General features: G+C 35.1%; 1 protein-coding gene and 1 long non-coding RNA gene across 3 annotated transcripts in view; one reads left to right on the top strand and one right to left on the bottom strand.

Moving 5' to 3' along the window:
• The window catches only part of HCRTR2 (hypocretin receptor 2), a 178,245-nt gene that overhangs the window by 126,152 nt on the left and 30,700 nt on the right, over positions 1-21,393 (bottom strand). The gene's annotated exons all lie outside the window — the stretch shown is intronic.
• On the top strand, positions 13,093-14,894 carry LOC124901491 (uncharacterized). Its single transcript, XR_007059924.1, has 2 exons — positions 13,093-13,456; positions 14,026-14,894. It is a non-coding gene; the product is annotated as an uncharacterized LOC124901491 (long non-coding RNA).

Genomic DNA, 21,393 nt, shown 5'->3' with positions numbered 1-21,393 from the left:
TTCAAGCCAGTGGATCTTAGCTTACTGGCCTCCATGGGAGTGGGATCCACCGAGCTAGACCACTGGGTTCCCTGGCTTCAGCTCCCTTTCCAGGAGAGTGAATGGTTCTGTCTCACTGGCATTCCAGGCACCACTGGGGTATGAAAAATAACTCCTGCAGCTAGCTCGGTGCCTGCCCAAAGATCCACCCAGTTTTGTACTTGAAACCCAAGGCCCTGGTGGTGTAGGCACCCGAGGGAATCTCCTGGCCTGAGGGTTGTGAAGAACATGGGAAAAGCATAGTATCTGGACCAGAATGCACCATCCCTCATGGCAGTCCCTCACAGATTCCGTTGGCTAGGGGAGGGAGTTCCCCATCCCCTTGTGCTTCCCCAGTGAGGTGACACCCCATCCAGCTTTGGCTCACCCTCTGTGGGCTGCACTCACTATCTAACCAGTCCCAATGAGAGGAGCTGGGTACCTCAGTTGGAAATGCAGAAACCACCACCTTCTGCACTGATCTCACTGGGAGCTGCAGACCAGAGCTGTTCCTATTCAGCCATCTTGCCAGCCACCTCCTGGATGGTCTTAAAGCTTGTGGATGTTCATCAGTTTCTGGGCATTGAGAAGTTAGGTATTTATTGTAGTCCTCCCAGTCCAAACTTGTTTGTGCCTATCTTTCTTGGAAAGCTTTTCAGGTATCAAATGGGACTTGAGTGTTATAATCTAAGTTTTTGATCATTGCAGTCATATCTGCACTGGGGAAACCTGAAAACTAATAATGCTTTGGCTGTTGCAGATTCATAGAGGTCTTGGATAAGATCTGGAAGAATTCCTTGTATTACCAACAGAGACTTTTATTCTCTTCCCTTACTTTCTCCCAAACAGAGTCACTCTCTCTTTGCTGGCTGCCTGGAACTTAAGGAGGGGTGACACAAGCACCCATGTGGTTACCACCCTTGGGCTGTGCTGGGTCAAACTAGAAGCCAACATAGCACTGGGTCATGCCTAATGCCCATGGTAACTGCTATCTGGCTACCACCTGTGTTCCCTGAAGGCCCTAGGCTTCTACAATCAGCAGGTGGTAAAGCCAGTCAGACTTGTGTCCTTCCCTTCAGGGCAACAAGTTCTCCCTGGTCCTGAGTGGATCCAGAGATGCCATCCAAGAGCCCGGGCCTGGAGTCAGAAAACTGCAATGTGCTTAGATTCTCTTTAACTATTTTTAATGACATTTTTTATTTTTCAGTACATAAAACTTGTACATTCTTGGTAAATTCCTTCCTAAGATTTTCATGCTTTTTTGATGCTCTTGCAAGTGGAATTGTTTTGTTATTTTCATTTTCAGAGTTATTTGCTAGTGTATAGAAATACAAGTGTTTTTTGAGAATTGATATTGTATCCTGCAACTTTGTAGAACCCATTTATTAACTCTGGTAGTTGTGAGTGTGTATGTAATCTCTAGGAGTTCTCCATGTATAAGATTATGTCATCTGCCAGAGGTAATTTTACTTCCTTTCTAATCTAAATGCCTTTTTTTAATGATTAATTGACTAGAACTATCTTTCCAATGTTGAATAGAATTAGTAGACCTCTTTGTCTTTTTCTGATCTTAGGGGAAAATATTCAGAGATTTCAGTCTTCCACCATTAAATATGATGTTAGCTGTGGTTTCGTTGTAGATGTTCTTTGTAAAGTTGAGGAAGTTCCCTTCTATTCCTAGTCTGTGGAATGCTTTTATATTGAAAACATGTTGGATCTTGTCATTTTTTGTACATCTAGTGAGATAATTATGTTTTTTTAATTACTATTATTTATTGCACTGGTTGATTTTCATTAAGTTTAGCCAACTTTATATCCCAGGAATAAACCCCATTTGTCCATGGTGTATAGTCCTTTAAAATACTGCTGGATTCGATTTGCTATTAATTTTTTGAAAATTTTTGCATCAACATCCATAAGTTATATTGATCTGGTGTGTGTGTGTGTGTGCTTGTGTGTGTGTGTGTGTGTCTCAGAGAGAGAGAAAGAGAGAGTGAGAGAGAGACAGTTGTCTTGCTTTAGTATAAGAGTAATACTGGCCTCATAAAGAAACTCTAGTTTTAATTCCAGTTTTACTGTTGTTTAAAGCTGGAATAGTTGCTTGATAATTTAGAGTTTTAGATTCTTCATCTCTGGATTAATAGTAACTCCACAGAAATTGTTGTGATAATTAAATAAGATTATTATGTGTTCTTTATAAGTTTTAAATTTCAGTATTTATTAGATTATGAGAAGAATTGGTGTGAGTGCTAGGAGTAAAAGCAGCAGTTGGAAAATGTAATTAGAAATGGCTGTACCTTAACTAGGATTATTATACTTAATTTCTCTTGGTCTCCATTGCAGCATCTTTAAAATGAGCCACAACAATTCCATTCATGTTCCAATAATATTAATAAAAATAATAATGTAACTATAATAATGTAACAATAATATTATTAATACTATATAGAAAGTGCATGAAACCTAAGCACTTAATATATATTAACTTATTTCATCCACATAACACCATATTAAAGGTGCTGGGGTTTTTCCCCTCATTTTGCAAGTGAGGATGGTACCTGAAGTTTAGATGACTTTTCAAGATCACACAGCTTAGAAGTAGAAGAGAACAAGTTAATCTATGATATAACAATGGTCACAAAATTAGTCATTTTTCACTCTCATCTAGGTATTTCTCTCATGCTTATATAGATAAGATGAATCAAACTTTGTTCATATATTCTTCAAAAACAATGTGAATTTCCTAAGATAGCCAACGAGTTTAAATTGAAATAAAATAAACATGATTCAATCTGATTTTTTTGTCACCTTGAAAATTAACTTCTTTACAAACTTTTTTTCTATAATGTTTGAATGAATTAACATTATGCATGTAGAAAATGTCTAACTACCGCCTCCACAAACCTCTATGATGAATAGCTCTTAGGCCTTGGGAATTCAGAGAAGTGTTTCTGAAATAAAACACCGCACATTCATATAAAACATTTAATACCAATGGTTGAATATCTTGCCTGAAAGACAACAGCAAAATTATCATCTGATGTTTTAGATTGCTAGTAATGATGTGAATTAGTGTTGATTTAGACTCCGTTGGCTTTTTGTGCAAATATGTAACACACTATTTAAATACAAGTTTGGCTACTAAAACTGGCTCAGAGCTCATTAAGTGGGTTTGTTATTTGGTATTTCAAGTAAAAATTAGGAACCAGGCTTTGAAATTTGGAAGAGACAAGTTCAAAACAATAAAAGGAAATCCATTCTAACACATTTGACCAAATTGAAATCATAGGTTTGTTTAATTGGTTTAAATAGTGTTAAGATTGTGTTTTCATTTCTGTAAAAAAAAAAATATTGGTATTTTGATAGGGATTGCATTGACTCTACAGGTTGTTTTGGGTAGTATGTACATTTAGCAATATTAATTCTTCCAAACCATGGCATGGAATATCTTCCATTTATTGTATCTTCTTTAATTTTTTTATCAGCATTTTATAGTTTTCAGTACACAAGTCTTTCACCTCCTTGGTTAAATTTGTTCTTAAGATTTATTATTTATGATGCTATTGTAATGGGGATTGTTTCCTTAATTTCCTTATGAAATAGTTTGTTGCTATTATATAGAATTACAAGTACTTTTTGTATACTGATTTTGCATTCTGCAACTGTACTGAATTCATTTCTTTGCTCTAGCTATTTTGTTTGTTTGTGTGTTTGTTTGTTTTTGTGGAATCTTTAAGGTTGTCTACACATGAGATCAGCTCATCTACAAACAGAGGTAATTTCACTTCTTCCTTTCCAATTTGGTGGATTTTATTTATTTATTTATATTTATTTATTTATTTATCTATTTATTTATTTATTTATTTTTGCCCAATTGTCCAGACTAGGACTTCAAGCACTATGCTGAATAGAAGCAAGAATGGGCATCCTTGCTTTGTTCTTGATCTTAGAGAAAAGCTTTCAATTTCTCAACAACGTCAAAGTTTGTTATATGCTTTTTCTGCATCTATTCAGATGATCATATGATTTTTATCCTTCATTTTGTTAAAGTGGTATATCACATTCAATTTTATATGTTGACTTATCCTTGCGTCCTAAGGAGAAATTTCACTGGTCATGCTATATGATCTTTTTAATGTACTGTTGAATTTAGTTTGCTAGGATTTTACTGAGGATTTTTGCATATGTATACATGATAATTCCCACATTTGTAGTTTTTATGTTCTTGTAGTATTTTTGCGTAGTTTTGGTATCAGAATAATGCTGGCCTCATAAAATGAGTTTGAAAATATTCCCTCTTTCTTTTTGGAAGAGTATAAGAATGAATGATTGGCATTAATACTTTAAATGTTTGGTAGAATTCATTTGTGAAGACTTCTGGTCCTAGACTCTTCTTCTTGGGAGGTTTTTGATTATTTACTCAGTCTCCTTGGTTGTTACTGGTATGTTCAGGCTTTCTATTTCTTCTTGTTTCAGTTTGATAGACTGTGTATTTCTAGGAATTTATCCATTTTTTTTCTAGGTTGTCCAATTTATTGGTGTATAGTTGTTCATAATAGTACCTTATGATCTTTTTGTTAACATCAATTGTAATGTCTCCTGTCTCATTTCCAATTTTATTTATTTGAGTCTCTTTTTTTAGTCAAGGTAAGGGTTTGTTAATTTTGTTTGTCTTTTCAAAAAAGTACATTGTAGTTTTGTCCACTTTTTCTAATTTTTTCATTCTCTATATTATTTATTTTTGATCTAACCTTTGTTATTGTCTTTCTTCTGCTAACTTGGTCTTAGTTTTTTCTGTTTGTCTGTTTTCCCTAGTTTTGAATAATTAGACTCCACCAGTATGGATCTCAAATGACCAAAGCAAATTTGAATCATAAGAACACAGCTAGAGATATCACACTTCCTGATTACAAAATATATTACAAAGCTACAATAATCAAAACAGCATGATACTATCATAAAAAGAGATATAGTCACAAATTGTATAATGATGTTTTCATCAATGACTGATGGCATAAATGATGATGGTTCCATGAGAGTATGATGCAATATTTTTACTGTACTTTTTCTATGTTTAGATATATGTAGATACACAAATGATTACCATTGTGTTACACAATTGTCTATAATATTCAGTATCCAGTAATATGCTACACGTTTGTTGGCTAGGAGCAAAAAGCTATACCTTATAGCCTAGGTGTGTAGTAAGCTATACCATCTAGGTTTCTGTAACTACACTCTATAGTGTTTGCACAATGATGAAATCATGTAATAATGCATTTCTCAGAATGTATCCCTTCCCTGCAGTTAAGTGATATATGACCATATGTTGACCAATAGAACAGAACAGAGAGCCTAGACATAAACCCATGAATTTACAGACAACTGTTCTTTGCTGAGGGTAACAAGCAGTGCTGTGAAAACTGGATATCCATATGCAAAAAATAAAATCAAGTCGGATGCTTACGTTGCACCACACATAAATATCAACTCACAGTGAATTAGATTTAAACTTAAAAGATGACCATAAGCTCCTAGAAAAAAAACACGCACACAGGGAAAAACTTTAACATTGGCTCTGGCGATGATTTCTTGGATATGACACCAAAAACACAAGTAACAAAAGCAAAAATAGACAATTGGGGTTTTTTGTGCAACAAAGAAAACAAAAGAATGAAAAGTCAACCTATGTAATGTAATAAAATACTTGGTAACCATATGCAAATATTTGTGTCCTCTCAAAATTCACATGTTGAAATGCTAATTGCCCGTGTGATGATACTAGAAAGTGAGGCCTTTGGGAAGCTTTGCCCTTGTGAATGGGATTATTTTACTTTTCGAAGGGACTTCAGAGAGCTCTCTTGCCCTCTTTCTACCAGATGAGGATACCACCCCAAAAAAGGGCCCTCACCAAACCTACCATATTGGCATCCTAATCTCAAACTTCTAGCCTCCAGATCTTTGGCAAATAAATTTCTGTTTTTTATAAGCTACTTAGGCTATAGTATTTTGTTAAAGCAGCCCAAACTTACTAAGGCACCGTATATCAGATAAAGAGTTAATATCCAAAATATATAAGGAACTGCTACAACTCTATAGCAAAAGACAAATAAACAAAAAAATACCAATTAAAAAATGGACAGAAGATCTCAATATATAATTTTTCAAGAAAACATATGAATGGCCAAAAGGTATATGAAAAGATCCTCAACACTTCTAATCACCAAGGGAATGCAAATCAAAACCACAATGAAATTTTACGTCACATGTGTTAGGATGGCTACTATTAAAAAAACACAAAAGATAACAAGTATTAGCAAGGAGGTAGAGAAAAGGGAAGCCTTGTACACTGTTGGGGAGAATGTAAATTGATGTGACCACTATGGAAAGCAGTATGAAGATTCCTCAAATAATTAAAAATAGAACTTGGTTATGCAGGCATACCCCTAAGAATTAAGCTAAACCTACTCTGCTTGTGCTCTATATAAAATGGAACAACAGAGCCTGGATGGCAGCAGGTCTGCTTACAGCATGGTTTACTAAATAATTTAAGCCCATTTTTGAGACTTACTGTTTAGAAAAAAAGATTCCTTTTAAGATAGTACTGCTCATTGAAAATGCACTGGCTACCCAAGTGGTCTGACAGAGATCTACAGGGAGATTAATGTAGTTTTCATGCCTGCTAACAAAACATCACTTTGTAGTCCATGGATCAAAGAGCCATTTTGATTTTTAAGTGTTTTTTTTTTTAAGAAATAAATTTTGTAAGACTATAGCTCCCATAGATAGTGATTTCCCTGATGGATCTTGGGAAAGTAAATTGAAAGCTTTCTGGAAAGAATCCACCATTCTAGGTGCCATTAAGAACATTTGTGATTCGTGGGTGGAAACCAAAATATCAACATTAACAGGAGTTTGGAAGAAGCTGATTCCAGCCCTCATAGATTACTTTGAGAAGCTCAAGGTTTCAGTGGAAGATGTCACTGCAGATGTGGTAGAAATAGCAAAAGAAATAGAATTAGAAGTGGAGCCTGAAGATGTGACTGAATTACTACAATCTCATGACAAATCTTTACAAGATGATCTGCTTCTCTTGATAAACAAATAAAGTGGTTTCTTAAGATGGAATATACTTTTAGTAAAGATGCTGTGAACACCGTTGAAATGACAAGAAAGGATTTAGATTATTACACAAACTTAGTTGATAAAGCAGTGGCAGACTTAAGAAGATTAACTTCAATTTTGAAAGAGTTTTATTGTGGGTAAAATAGTATCGGTCAGCATTGCATAACACAGAGAAATTTTTTGTTAGAGTAAGTGTCAATCGATGTGGCTAGCTTCGTTGCTGTCTTATTTTAAGAAATTACCACAGCCACCTCAACCTTCAACAACCATTGCCCTCATAAGTCAGCAACCATCAACATTGAGGCAAGACCCAGTGGTCTGCAAAAAAGATTATAATTCACTAAAGATTCAGATGATTGTTAGCATTGTTTTAGTAATAAAATATTTTTAATCAGGGTATTTAATTTTTAGATATAAAGCTATTGCTCACTAAGTAGACTACAGTATGGTATAAACATAACTTCCATATGCACAGGAAAACCAAAACATTTGTGGGATTCACTTTATTGTGATATTCACTTTATTGTAGTTGTCTAGAAACAAACCTGCAGTATCCTCTAAGGAAAGTGTACAGGGACAAAGGAATTGAAATCAGAATTTCAAAGAGATTATCTGCACTCTCATGTTTATTAAAACATTGTTTATAATATCAAAAGCATGGAAGCAACCTCCATTTCCATCAATAGAAAAATGGATAAAGAAAATATGATAAATACATAAAATGGAATGTTATTCAGCCTTGAAAAAGGAAATCTTGCCATTTGCAATGATGTGGATGAACCAGAGGACATTATGCTTAGGGAAATAAGCCAGACATAAAAAAGACAAATACTCCTATCCCACTTATACAAGAAATATGAAAAAGTCAAACTCATAGAAGCAGAGAGTAGAACAGAAGTATCCAGGGCCGGGGGAGGTGGAAATGGGGAGGTGTAACCAAAGGGTAGAAAGTCTCAGTTATAGAAGATGAGTAGGTTCCAGGGTTCTTCTGTATAGCAGAGTGCTTACAGTTAACAATGTGTATTGTATACTTAAATATTTGCAAAGAGTGTAGATCTTATGCTAAGTGTTCTTATCACACCAATAATAATAATAATAAGAAGAAAGAACAAGGAGGGTAGGAGGAATCTTTTGGAGGTAATGAATGTGTTTATGGATTTGACGGTGGTGACAACTTCCTGGGTGTTTACTAATCTTCAAACTCATCAAGTTGTATACATTGTATATATTTATAGTCAACTTTTAATGTCAATAATATCTTAATAAAATGTTTTTTTAATGTAGAATATTAAATGTATGTGATGTGTTGCCAGCAGAATGAGAGCTGATTGATAAGCACACTTCAGGACTGCATCCTGGAAACTGAGGTTGACCTGAAGGTGACATCATGAGAGTGTAATGTTCCTTAGTGCTTCTGTAAAAGATAGAATCTTTAATTTGATTGCAATATCTATTTTTTGTTTTTAACAAAAAACATTGATTAGAATTTAAAAGTTTAAAGTTTAGTGAAATACAACATTAAAGTGATTTAGCTTTATCAAACATTCTAAATGATTTCCAGTCAGAAGTTCTGAAAGCCAAGTACATTTGTCTTGTTTAACTAATGTATTCAAATATTTTCTGAGAGTAGGTCTTCACATTTTATACAGATGTAATTAAATATAGGAATTAAATATGAGTGAATACCCCCTCAAACTACGTTTACATTTATTTTTATCATTAAAATATTTTTAAAAGTTCTTTATATGGTCAAGGTGTTGGTTTCATGATATCAAGATATAAATGCTGGCTTGCAAACTTTATTTAAAACCTGCATTAAAGGGTTTACATTCAATTTCTAATTTATTGTTTATTTATGGATGACCAGTTTGGCTTTGTCTAGATATTTTGATATGTCCTCAATTGACCTTTCTTGTACTCATGCTTTATAGAAAGAAGAGAACAGAAAGCACAGTAAATATTAATCATAATAGCAATTTGCTCACCTCACTTTTTACCCACAGTTGTGTCCACTTTCACTTGTTGGAAAGAGTGGCCATATCTGCACTGTCTCAGAGAAAATCCCTGCTGTGTAGTATTAAACCCTGTTGGGTGACCATAGTGGTACAAATATGAAACATATTGATGACTTCTTTTGAAATACAGTAACAGTTATGAGCAAACATATTTTGGACTTTTAGCATTAAAGTAATTTTTTCCACAAAACAAAACTGTATTTGGTTGAGAAAAAAAATAAAACAGCTTTAGAAGAATAGCAAACATAAGAAATGACAGGGAACAGAAGATTTAAAGGGTCTCTGTGGTGGGAAAGCTTACTTTTTTATAAGGTTCTCTGGCTATGTTCACACTAATCAACTAGACAATTGCCTTAAGGTTATAAGTATTCATGCAAATGTTTTGAGTGAAAGATATTAACTTTCCACATTTTATGGCAATATGTAGGTTCACAACTAAAGCATAAAGCAGGAAAGAAAAAGAAAGTATCAGAATTAGTCATTTTATTTTCTTATCATTCAAGTTCTCTGTCTGTAAAATTACACTGCAATGCAGTTATACCTGTAAAATGCTGGTTCTTAAAATTTTGTGATTCCCATATGTGTTTAAGCATGAAATAAAATGTCATAGATCTATCCCTCTTCAAATGCTCATATAAACATATATTACCTGAATCCCAGCCATGATCTGATGTTCACAATCTCAGCCTTATAGAGATTTAATTGGAAGCATCTCAGAGATACAGTATTTTCTAGCCATAATAAGATACTCCCATTAACTAAAACTTTGTGGGAGAAGCATATTGGCTTCCCAACACATCCCAGAGTTTCCTCAGCAGCTTTCCTGCAGGCTACTCTAGTCAACTCCTTCTGAAACAATTCTTACACTCAAGTTTGAAGTAGCATGGAGAAGCACATGGTAGGTGGGTAGCAAGTAAGGCTGTTACTGCCTGACATCCATCTGATATAAGAGCAAGGAATGCCCACTTCTATAATTTCCAATCAATGACTGATAATCCAGAATTTTAGATGAATAATGTGGGAGGAACTGAGTTTTGAAGACAGCTGCTGTTTACCAAAACAGACCCTCTAGAATTCTTTTGGTCATCATTTACTTTTAAAAGAGATTGATACAGTTCCCACAAAAATAAATGAGTAGAAACACACACACACACGCACACACACACGATCATTTCACAGTAGAAAACAATTTTTGAGTATTTTAACATTTGAAATTAATTTTGCCCTTTGCTGCCATTTTTAAACACTCTTTCAATATTAGATAATTTGGCTAATTTATATAAAGGTACTATAAACCTTGGTTTGCCTCACCATTGGAAACATCAATGACATTAGTTTCTATTGAAAAAGAAATGATCTCTAACAACAAACTCTAACTAAAGTCCATTCAGGCAGATTCTACAAATTCATTCTACCTCCCATCATGATTTCACTAAAACACCTTTCCCATTGGAAACATCAATGACATTAGTTTCTGTTGAAAAAGAAATGATCTCTAACAACAAACTCTAACAATTCCATTTAGGCAGATTCTACAAATTCATTCTACCTCCCATCATAATTTCACTAAAACATCTTTCCCAGAGCTAAACTGTTTACATCCAGAGCCTATACAAAGTCATGTAAGATACAATCAACTCTTTTCTTATTGCAAGTAACTATATATCATCATCATCTTTATGAAATACTTTCAAAGGGACACTACATTAAAAAGAAGAAGTATCAAACCCACCCGACAGATCATCAAAATGAATTATAGAAAGATAACATCATAGAGCAGCCTATTGTACTGAACCTGAGAGACCCTTGAGTTAAAATCTCAGTTCCGCCTCTTGCTGGTTGTGTCACTTAGCCAAAATACCTCTCTGTGTCTGTTTCAATACCCTTAAATGAGGATAGTAACAGTACCTATTTCATAAGGTTGGTGTGAGTTTATATGTAAAGGACTTAAGTCATTATCTGACTCCTAAGTGCTATATACATCAGTAAATAGCTGTGTGTATGCATATGTCTGTGCAAATTTATAGTATTCTTAAGCCACTGTATTTATTAGTTAGCATATATTCCCCTTGTACATTCACTAGAAAGAGTAACAACATAGTATTTATTTTTATCAATTACGTAGATTTTTGGTAAAATATGAATTAATGTATATATTATACTTTTATCCAAATATGAATTCACAAATAATTTACAAATATAACTAATAAAATAGCTATATTTTGTATTTATAATAACTGAATATAAGTAATTAAAAGACCTTTATTAGAATAGATTATTACCTTACATTTTGGGAGAAAATAAGTATGTAATAGTTTTAAATATCCCCTAAGCTGATAGCTCCCTACATTTGCTGTCTCTTAGAAACATTTGGGATTTTTAAAAAAATTTCAGTGCTTAGGTAGCATCCCATACCAATTAAATCAGAGTGTATGGCAGAGAAAACTAGGCATCAGTTGTTTTTAAAGATCCCCTGGCTATTCCAAGGTACAACAAAATTTGGAAGTACTGCCCTAAACTCTTCATTCAAAGTATGGTGCACAGACCAAAAGCATTGGAATCACCTTGGAGCTTGCTAGATAAGCAGAAACATCATGGGCCCCACTCCAAACCTACTAAATCAGAGACTATATTATTAGCAAGATTCCCAAGTAATTCATATGTATGCTAAAGTTTGAAAAACACTGTTTGAATTTTGAGAGAAATTAAACAAAATCCCTAGGCAGAATAATGTAGAGAAATTAGTTTGGACAAATACATTGGCATCAAACATGGTTGTAACAGTCATCTTAAGGAGAAAAAAAAAGCTTGTTTTTTTTTTTTTAACTAACCTTTGCTTTAATCTGATATTCTGATTTTATTAATCAAATGTCAGGTACTTTATCTGCAACATTAATTATTCCAACTTCTTTCCAATAAGGCATTCTTGCATTTGCCCAGGAATGAATTAGCATTTTTGACCTTGAAATGTCATTGTTTTGTCATAGATCTGTATTGTGAAAATTAATGCCTGCAAGTCTTTTTTAGTACAGTAATAAGAATTCTATAACCATGTGGCATTTGTTTGCTACTATACAAATGAATTATTACTTTTGCATTAATGCCAGTGTCCTTCCTTTAGGTTTTATGGCATCAAACTAGATGTCTTATACTGTATATTATCCCTTTCTGAGATAAACATTGAATATATGCCAATTCCATATAAATCTTATAATTGTTCTCCACTATTCAATCATTTATTAGCTTAGTAGCATTTGTTGCATGTTTACTGTGTACCAAGCAATTTTACAGGGGAAGTTTTTTACATGGCCTGTGCAGCTAATACTATATTTTTTAACTTGGAATTTAGGTTGGAAAATCAATAAATTAAGAAAAATAAAATTCAACAACTCATTTCCAGCAGTAGATGGAAAACAAAGTGCTATCACAGAGAAAAAAAAAAGGAATATTTTTCCTGCTGATGGTCATTTTTTTGTTGTTGAGGGATTACAACTTATATGATGAGTAGAAATGTAGGATTATTCTAAGTATATGGGGAAAGAGAGCTCCAAGAGATTGGATACCAGCTTTTTTTAAAAAAATAAGTAAGAAGTGTTATATACAGGGGAGAGAATATGGTATGGTATGTGGCTATGGTGTCATGTGAGGGGAGAAAGTGTAAAGGAGGTTGGTTAGCAATGTTATGAGACAGCCGGGCGCAGTGTCTCAAGCCTGTAATCCCAGCACTTTCGGAGGCCAAGGCGGGCAGATCACGAGGTCAGGAGATTGAGACCATCCTGGCTAACACGGTGAAACCCCGTCTCTACTAAAAATACAAAAACAAAAATTAGCCAGGCACGGTGGCGGGCGTCTGTAGTCCCAGCTACTCAGGAGGCCGAGGCAGGAGAATGGCATGAACCCGGGAGGCGGAGCTTGCAGTGAGCCGAGATCGCGCCACTGCACTCCAGCCTAGGCGACTGAGCAAGAATCCGTCTCAAAAAAAAAAACAAACAAAAAAACAAAAAAAAAAACAAAGAATGTTATGAGACGACTTTGTATGCCTCATTAGAGAGCCAGGACATCTTCCGTGGATACGTGGAATGAGTAGACATTGACATGCAACAACGTCAAGAATGTGTTTTGGTTTTTCTTTGTTTTGTAAAGGGATACCTTGTTTTAAGGTGAAAATGAAACCAGTTGAGAAAAGAAAACTAAGACCATTTAGGGTCTGTTACACAATTGACATATCAGAATATGAAGACAAGGTAAATGAGTAAAACAAGGAATGAGAAGGAGGGAGCACATTTAAACAGAATTTGGTAAGTAAAATCTACGTACTTTGTAACTAGAAGAATATGACTGGGAAGGGCGGTAAAAGAAGCAACAAAGTAGACGGGTAGCTTTTCTCTGGGGTTATATGCTAATGGAGAGGATAATTAATTTAAAAAAGAAAAATGGGAAGAAAAGACAGTTTGAATAGGGAGAACACGGGCGAGTTTAATTTTGGCATTTTATTCCTGTAGAAGATCTTAGAATAACTCTTAAAGAAACAATGATATATATTAATCCAGAGCTCACAAGATAAGCATGGTCTAGACGAGAGGATTTGGAAGCCACTAATGCACACAGGTAGTCTTTGGTGCCCACTGGTCATATCACTTGGAAATTTATGGAGAAAGGTCCTGAGCCAAAGATCCTCTAGACCAGGGGTACTGGCGGGTGGGTGGGCAGGCGAGGGAGCAGATTATCACAGGAGCGTGAACCTATTGTGAACTGCGCATGCGAGGGATCCAACGTGCGCTCTACTTAGGAGAATCTAACCTGATGATCTGAGGTGGAAGTTTCATCCTGAAACCAAACCCCAGCTTTTCCTCTTTCTGGTATTTAGGAAAATTGTCTTCCACAAAACTGGCCCTGGTACCAAGAAGTTTGGGGACCGCTGCTGTAGACCACCAATATTTGAATGACGCGTAGAAGATGAGTCTGCAGAAGACAGAGAAAGAGCTGTCATGGTGGAAGGTGAAAAGGCAGAACAGATCCCAGTACTTTGGGAGGCCAAGGCGGGTGGATCACTTGAGGTCTGGAGTTCAAGACCAGTCTGACCAATGTGGAGAAACCCCGTCCCTACTAAAAAAAAATACAAAATTAGCCAGACGTGGTGGCGCATGCCTGTAATCCCAGCTACTCGGAAGGCTGAGGCAAGAGAATTGCTTGAACCCGGGAGGCGGAGGTTGCGGTGCGCCGAGATCGCGCCATTGGACTCCAGCCTGGGCAACAACAGCGAAACTCCGTCAAAAAAAAAAAAAAAAAAAAAAAAAAAAAAAAGGCAGGACGGGAAAGAATGGCGTCACACACTGATTTTTATAAAAGAACTGAAATGAAATGCATCGCTATCAAGCTCTGTTGTGGTTCCCTTTTCCCAAACATGATTCATGACTAATATGTGACTTCTATTCATTTTCTTAAGGGCTTGAGAATTATATAAAACTAATATAAAAGGCTAGATTGAGAGCAAAAGCTGATAATTACTAAATGCTGCCTAAAACTTGGCTTCAATCCATATCATAGAAAAGCTGCAGTGAGACCTGGCACCAGGCTACCTGCGTTCATATTTTGGCTCTACCCACAGTACATAAGTGATCCTGAACATGGTGCTAACCCCGCAGTATGCCTCATTTTTCTATGTATTAAATGGATCTCATTGTTACCCATCCTCATCAAATTATTGTGTGGATTAAATGAGATGCTAAAAGTCAAGTATTTGGAAAGAGTTGGCATAATGCACATTCACTAAATAAATGTTAGCTATTATTATAATAAAAATGTTTCATTAGCTTGGCTGCGATCCTGCAAGGTTACATCAGTCACACAATTCCAAATAAGACAAAAAACCAAAAAGGAATAGAAAACATTTTCTAAGCAAAGCAATAACTTTCTGGTCTTAGGCAAATCCTCTTTTAGAATAAATTGATTTTTGTTTTAATCTTGCAGGGAAGGCAAAGACATTTGGAATAAAAGTTTCAATAGCAAGACCCAAATGATGGGTTTGTGGGATACATTGTATTGACATAATTACAAAAACTGGAGAAAAGCATTTTATTCTGTATTCTAGGGAAAAATACAAAAGAAGACATTGTAGATAAGGATGACAGAGTTCCTAAACTAAAAAGCTAGATACCTAGAACATACTATAAGAAGTCAGGATAATTCAAGGGTTGACTTTCTAAGGTATCCAGGACATTATTTAATTATATTATAATTGGTAAATACTGGAAACTTTTATTCTATTAACTTAAAAAATATTTGAATGGTCACATTTTGCCAAATAGTTTAAAACCCCTTATGATTATCTAGAAATAGTTATTTTTATATATAATGTTTCACATAATATTCAGGCTGTTCTATCTGTCTGTCTGTCTATCTATCTATCTATCATCTATCATCTTTCTATCATAATCTGCCTCTATCCATCTATTTATTTGTAGATTGTGCCCAAATTCTGAGGTGTTATGGGAATAGAAATATGTACAATTCAAAATGTTATTTCTTCACCCTAAATTTTTTTTTCTGTTGACCACTTTTAATGGACTTGAATCATAGGTGTTTCCTTGTATAGAAATAAACATAGATGATTCATGGGTCTGGTAACATACACAGTGGGGAAAGAATACATTATTATTAAATCTCGGTGTGTGCATTTTATCTGTGCTACCTCTTTAATTCAAAAAAATGCTAAACTACACATGTGGAAAACGATGCTGCAAAAACAACAAAAATGATGTTTTCTATTAACTACTTACATATACTTATATAGTAAGTTTTAAAAATCTTTGACACACAGCTTTATATCCAAGAAAATAAACATACCATTAATGTGCATTAAATATAAAAATATTTAAACATTAAATGATCAGTTGAGGCCGGGCCCGGTGGCTCATGCCTGTAATCCCAGCACTTTAGAGGCCGAAGCGGGTGGATCACGAGGTCAGGAGATCGAGACCATCCTGGCTAACACGTTGAAATCCCCTCTCTATTAAAAATACAAAAAAAAAAAAAAAAAATTAACAGGGCGTGGTGGCGGGTGCCTGTAGTCCCAGCTACTCGGGAGGCTGAGGCAGGAGAATGGCTTGAACCCAGGAGAGGGAGCTTGCAGTGAGCCGAGATCGTGCCACTGCACTCTAGCCTGGGCGACAGAGCAAGACTCCGTCTCAAAAAAAAAAAAATTTTTTTTTAAATGGTCAGTTGAAAAGTACTCTGACAAATGCCATCATTTCTCTTAAGGACTATTTAACTAATTCTCTTCAATAAGTTGTTTTCAGTTTTTTGGGAGATAAAACTTACTATTTAATTTACTTTATGTTGGCATATGTCACATCTTGATTTTACTATTTAATTAACCACATTTAACTTTTTTGTACTTTCTTTGATTATAATGTGGAATATTTTATCAACATAATTTTACAATTTATTTCCCATTTCTTGGTGTTTGACATCTTTAATTTATGAAGAATAATTCTTGCATGTATTTTACATGGGTTTCTATAGCTTTTACTTTTCTTTAGCAATAATTCCTTTGTACATGTGTAATATTTGCAATGTTCTGAATGTGCATGCACAAGTTATTAGTCACCCCTAATATATTTTCTGTTAAAAATACCCTTTTTATTTCCTGCCTTATTTCTCTAAATTCTGTCCAGTTGTATTGTTTGTTCTCTAGGCTTCTTTAGATATCAGTATTATAGATTTTTGAACATCCAACAGCTGGGTTCAAACATCTCACAACCTATATTATCCATTTGGGATATATCTTTATTTAAATAAATTATAAGCTCTTCTCTAGAAATAATATTTTACAAAAGTAATGTTCTTTAAACAAATAAAATTAGTATACTTATTACCAGTAAGAGCACAGTTTGACATAAGAGACAGATAATTAAAATAGAATTTATATGTATCTCTTCTTCTAACTTCACTTTGTAAACTTAGGTATCTGCCTCTCTTTCCTGGTTTTCTCATCCAGACCATGAAAAACAGCCATTTCTAACACATTTTTCTTTTTCTTTTTCTTTTTTTCTTCTTTTGAGATAGAGTCTTGCTCTGTCGCCCAGGCTGGAGTGCAGTGGCGCAATCTCGGCTCACTGCGAACTCTGCCTCCTGGGTTCACGCATTCTCCTGCCTCAGCCTCCCGAGTAGCAGGGACTACAGGTGACTGCCACCACGCCCGGTTAATTTTTTTTTTTTTTTTTGTATTTTTAGTAGAGAGGGGATTTCACCGTGTTAGCCAGGATGGTCTCGATCTCCTGACCTCGTGATCCACCCACATCGGCCTCCCAAAGTGCTGGGATTACAGGCATGAGCCGTCGCACCCGGCCTCTAACACATTTTTCTAGGACATTGTCTGTCACTTGATATATGATCAATAAATATTTGTTGAATAAATAAGCACTTGTTGAAGGGCTAGTAAGCGAAAGAGCATGGGGATTCTAACTCAGGCACAACCAGCTTCCGAACTCTCTTTTCCTCTACGTGCCTAATCTCCATCAGGGCAGATATGCCTGTATGTAAATTATTAAATTACTTGTAGGTATACATTTGCAAGATTATACTAACACTTTTTCTAAGCAACTATGAATCAGTAGAAAAAAATTGGAATTAAAATTGAAAGGTTAATTTCCTGGTTCTATGATATACTTTTGTATATGTACTTCAGTTTCTGCATCACAAAATGATGTTAGATCTTTCATTTTGTGTGAGTGTGTTTGTGTGAGAGAGAGTATTTTTTAACAGATAATATATGTTAAAAATTTTGTAAAATCTAAGTATTTATAAATGCCAGTTGTGATTATAAATAATGTGCTGTGATGCTAGCTGAAAAAGTCTTTTTGGGAATGAAGGGCAACATTTTCAAAAGGGATTTCTCCTTTTACCCTTCCTCACCTCCATTTGCTTCTGAAAAGAAAGGTTTTGGTTGTGGAGTCATCCCTCAGAAAATCTTGGCAAGATTTGAGTGAAGAGCTTGGAGAGTAACTGAATCTAATCATAAGAAAACAATTAGTCAATACAGAGCAAAGGACCCTAATAGACTAAAACTCACAAGGACAGACTAGAACTCCTTGTCTAGTCAAGTCAATTCTAGGCCTTAATATTTTCTATAGGCCTTAATATTTTCAATATAATGGAAAAAAGGAGGCTGGGCAATAAATAAAATAAAAGACAGGGAGATTGTGGGAGATATCTGGTTGGTTTTCCATTCACTAAAAAAAGGGTCAGATTAAATTCTACAAAAATCAAAGCACCATATCCTTTTTCTTTTCAGCTGGTCTCAATAAGAGGTCAGGGTGCCCAGGAATAATATCCACTATGCATGGGTGTGTTCATATCCCGAGATGCAGCTTTGTCATAGTCTACTAAACCACCATGGCTCACTTTCATAATGACAACTCTGACATTTCACAGAGACATTTTTAAAAGCTACCCCAACAGCTATAAGTATTTCAAATAGGTCAATTTTATGCCTCTTGAATTTCAAGGAAGAACTCACTTTCTAGAAAAAAATCTCAAATGGTCATCTTCTGAGTCTACCTACTTTACTAGGGGTACTAGTTAGCAAGATTTCAAGTAATCTGGAATGTTGCTTGGCTCCTCTTTGACCAATCTAGAGAAAACAGGGTTTTTTTTAACTGAAAATCAAATCAAGACCAATAGTTATGCATAATAATGCCCAACATTTATAAAGCATCATGCTTTGAAGTTTATGGTTTACCCGGTGCTTTTATTACACATTACCTCCTTTGATCTTGCCACCATTGCATATGGAAGGGAGCATAACTATCATATTTTACTGATAAGTGGAGCTGAGACCTTAAAGATTTTGGAATTTATCAACTCTCTCAAGGAATATTAAACAAATAACCAAATAAAGTCACAAAGCTCAGTGATATCAAAACTAGGTTTTTGGAGTTTCCAGTCTTCAGTTAATTTAGTATATCAATCTTCCCATAAATACCAATAATTGAATCTCAGATAGATAGGGGAGGGCTTCTGACTTGCTTCAGTTTTCTCCTAACTCATGTCCCTGTGTGTGCACTAATTTATTTTAGTCTATTCTTTAGGCTGCAGCAAGTGTAGTCCTTAAAACATAAACTTAGTCTCTCATACGTTTCCCCTATTCCCAAACCTCAAACGGCTGCTACCACGTCTAAAGGTGAATCCACAATTTTCATTCTGACCTATGAGGACTTCCAGGACCTATGTTTGGAACCCTTCTTTAACTTCCTCACCCTAGGATAGCCACATTTACTTCTCTTTCAACACACCAAGGCCATTCCTACCTTGGGTTTCTATGTTTGTGCCTGAAACTTTCTCCTTCCAGACACAAATGAAATTTGTGTTCCCAATTTACACTTCCAATTTTGTTTGGCTGAGTGATTTAGGTCTCTGCTTACTACCAACTCCTCAGAGAGGGCTTCCATATGTCAAGGGTCCCCTAAACCCAAAGGCACTTTCTGTCCTGTTACTGTGCTTTATTCCTAGCATCTGGAAGAGTGCCTAGCAAAGATGGGTTTCAATAAATATATGTTAAATGAATAAATGAACAAACATATATAGTTGAGAGGAAAGAGATATAGCAAAGTTGAGTTTTTGCTCATGTTAGGCTACCCATTTAGAAATATTTGAATAAGTGTGCCGGAGAGTAACTATAGAAAGAATGACTTTCTTTTCAGGAGCTCTCTAACCCTCTGCTTAAGCAGTTTAAAATGACACAGTAAAAATTCTGGCTCTAAATAAAATGTAAAGGTGAGGACTGGATTTTAGAAGGAATTCATATATGTAAAGCAGTGATTGTAACAAAAAATACAGTTTTAACATCTATTTCTCAATCTGCTAGCTTGAATAAAATACGACTACCGTGGCAAGCAGCATGCGCATATTGCTTTGCAACACTGGCCACATGTTTTAAGCAGTAGAGATTTACATTCAAGGAACTAATAGTGTCTTCATTTATTTGACCAAGTTATTCATTAATTTGATCAAGTTCACCTTAGCAGTTAAAATAGCAGGATCTCAGATTTACAGAATTTTGTTAAAAGAAGTTTATCTTACTTGCTAGAGGCAAACATGAAGACTATATCTTTCTTAAAATGGATTAAGTCTCATCACACTGATCATATGAAATGTCTTTATAGGCAAATCTTTCAGGACAAAAAAAAATTAACTATTCTATCTTTTCATCTTGCTTAAAAGCTTAAAGCTTCTTTTTTTTAATTTATTTTTAACTGAATACATGGTTTATTTGCTGATCATGCAAAATAAGCTTTAAAAATATATTTCTAAAAGTGATCATTGCTCCTAATCATAAAATAAGCTCTACTGCTGGCACATTAAATGCAGTATATCCCGTTCTCCCTTCCTGTATGCAAGTCTTGCATTTAATGTGCCAGCAGTAAGAAATAGGAAATGAAGAAACTGAAGGCTAAAGTTCCTATGGCCACATTTTTAATGGTCAGATGGTGGTTCCTGTGTGTCATGAAATTTAGTCTTTTTAAAATTTATATAAACCTCAAACATTTCCAATAACAACTAAGGTATTTTTGGTTCTTTACAGCCTAGAGAGTGCTTTCATAAAAACTATCACATTGGTGGCTCACAGTTACCCAGTAGGTAAAGTGTTAATATTCTGTCTTTTTTGTAGTTGGCCAGCCTGAGGCTCAGTGAATGGCATAATCAAGAACCAGAGCAAGGACATTTGACCTACAGATCACTCTTTTTCCACTAAATCACACTGTCTCTTGGATTTCCAAGATATAAATTGGTCCAGGTCATTTACCTAGCTACTCTCTCAGGTTTCCTGAGTTCAAGGCAATACTGATTAATAATCACAGCCCTACCTGTCTGAAGTATCACAATACTTCACAGTAGATCTTGGAATTTGTAATGTCTTGCTCTCAGGAAAAAATTTAATTAATTAACTAAAAGCAAAAAAGGAATATATTTATTTTTTCTCTCTTTTTTGACATTCAGTTAGATGCACCTAAAAGACCAGTCCCTAAATAAGAATTGTCCGTAATCTCAGAGCAATACAGGCTACTGTTTTCAGAGTGTAAGGAAGGTTTTAGCTGGCTGCCTTTCAGGCTGTTTGCACTTTAAAGGTGGCTAGCATGCTTGATGTGTTTTGTATCTACTCTGAAGGGTTTTTTATTTCTTAGTTCTGGCATTCCTGTCATAGAAATAGAAATTAATTGCAGAAAGCCCTGCT

The sequence above is a fragment of the Homo sapiens genome, chromosome 6 (genome assembly GCF_000001405.40).
Source record: "Homo sapiens chromosome 6, GRCh38.p14 Primary Assembly".
NCBI lineage: Eukaryota > Metazoa > Chordata > Mammalia > Primates > Hominidae > Homo > Homo sapiens.
This window is presented reverse-complemented; position numbering and strand designations above follow the sequence as displayed.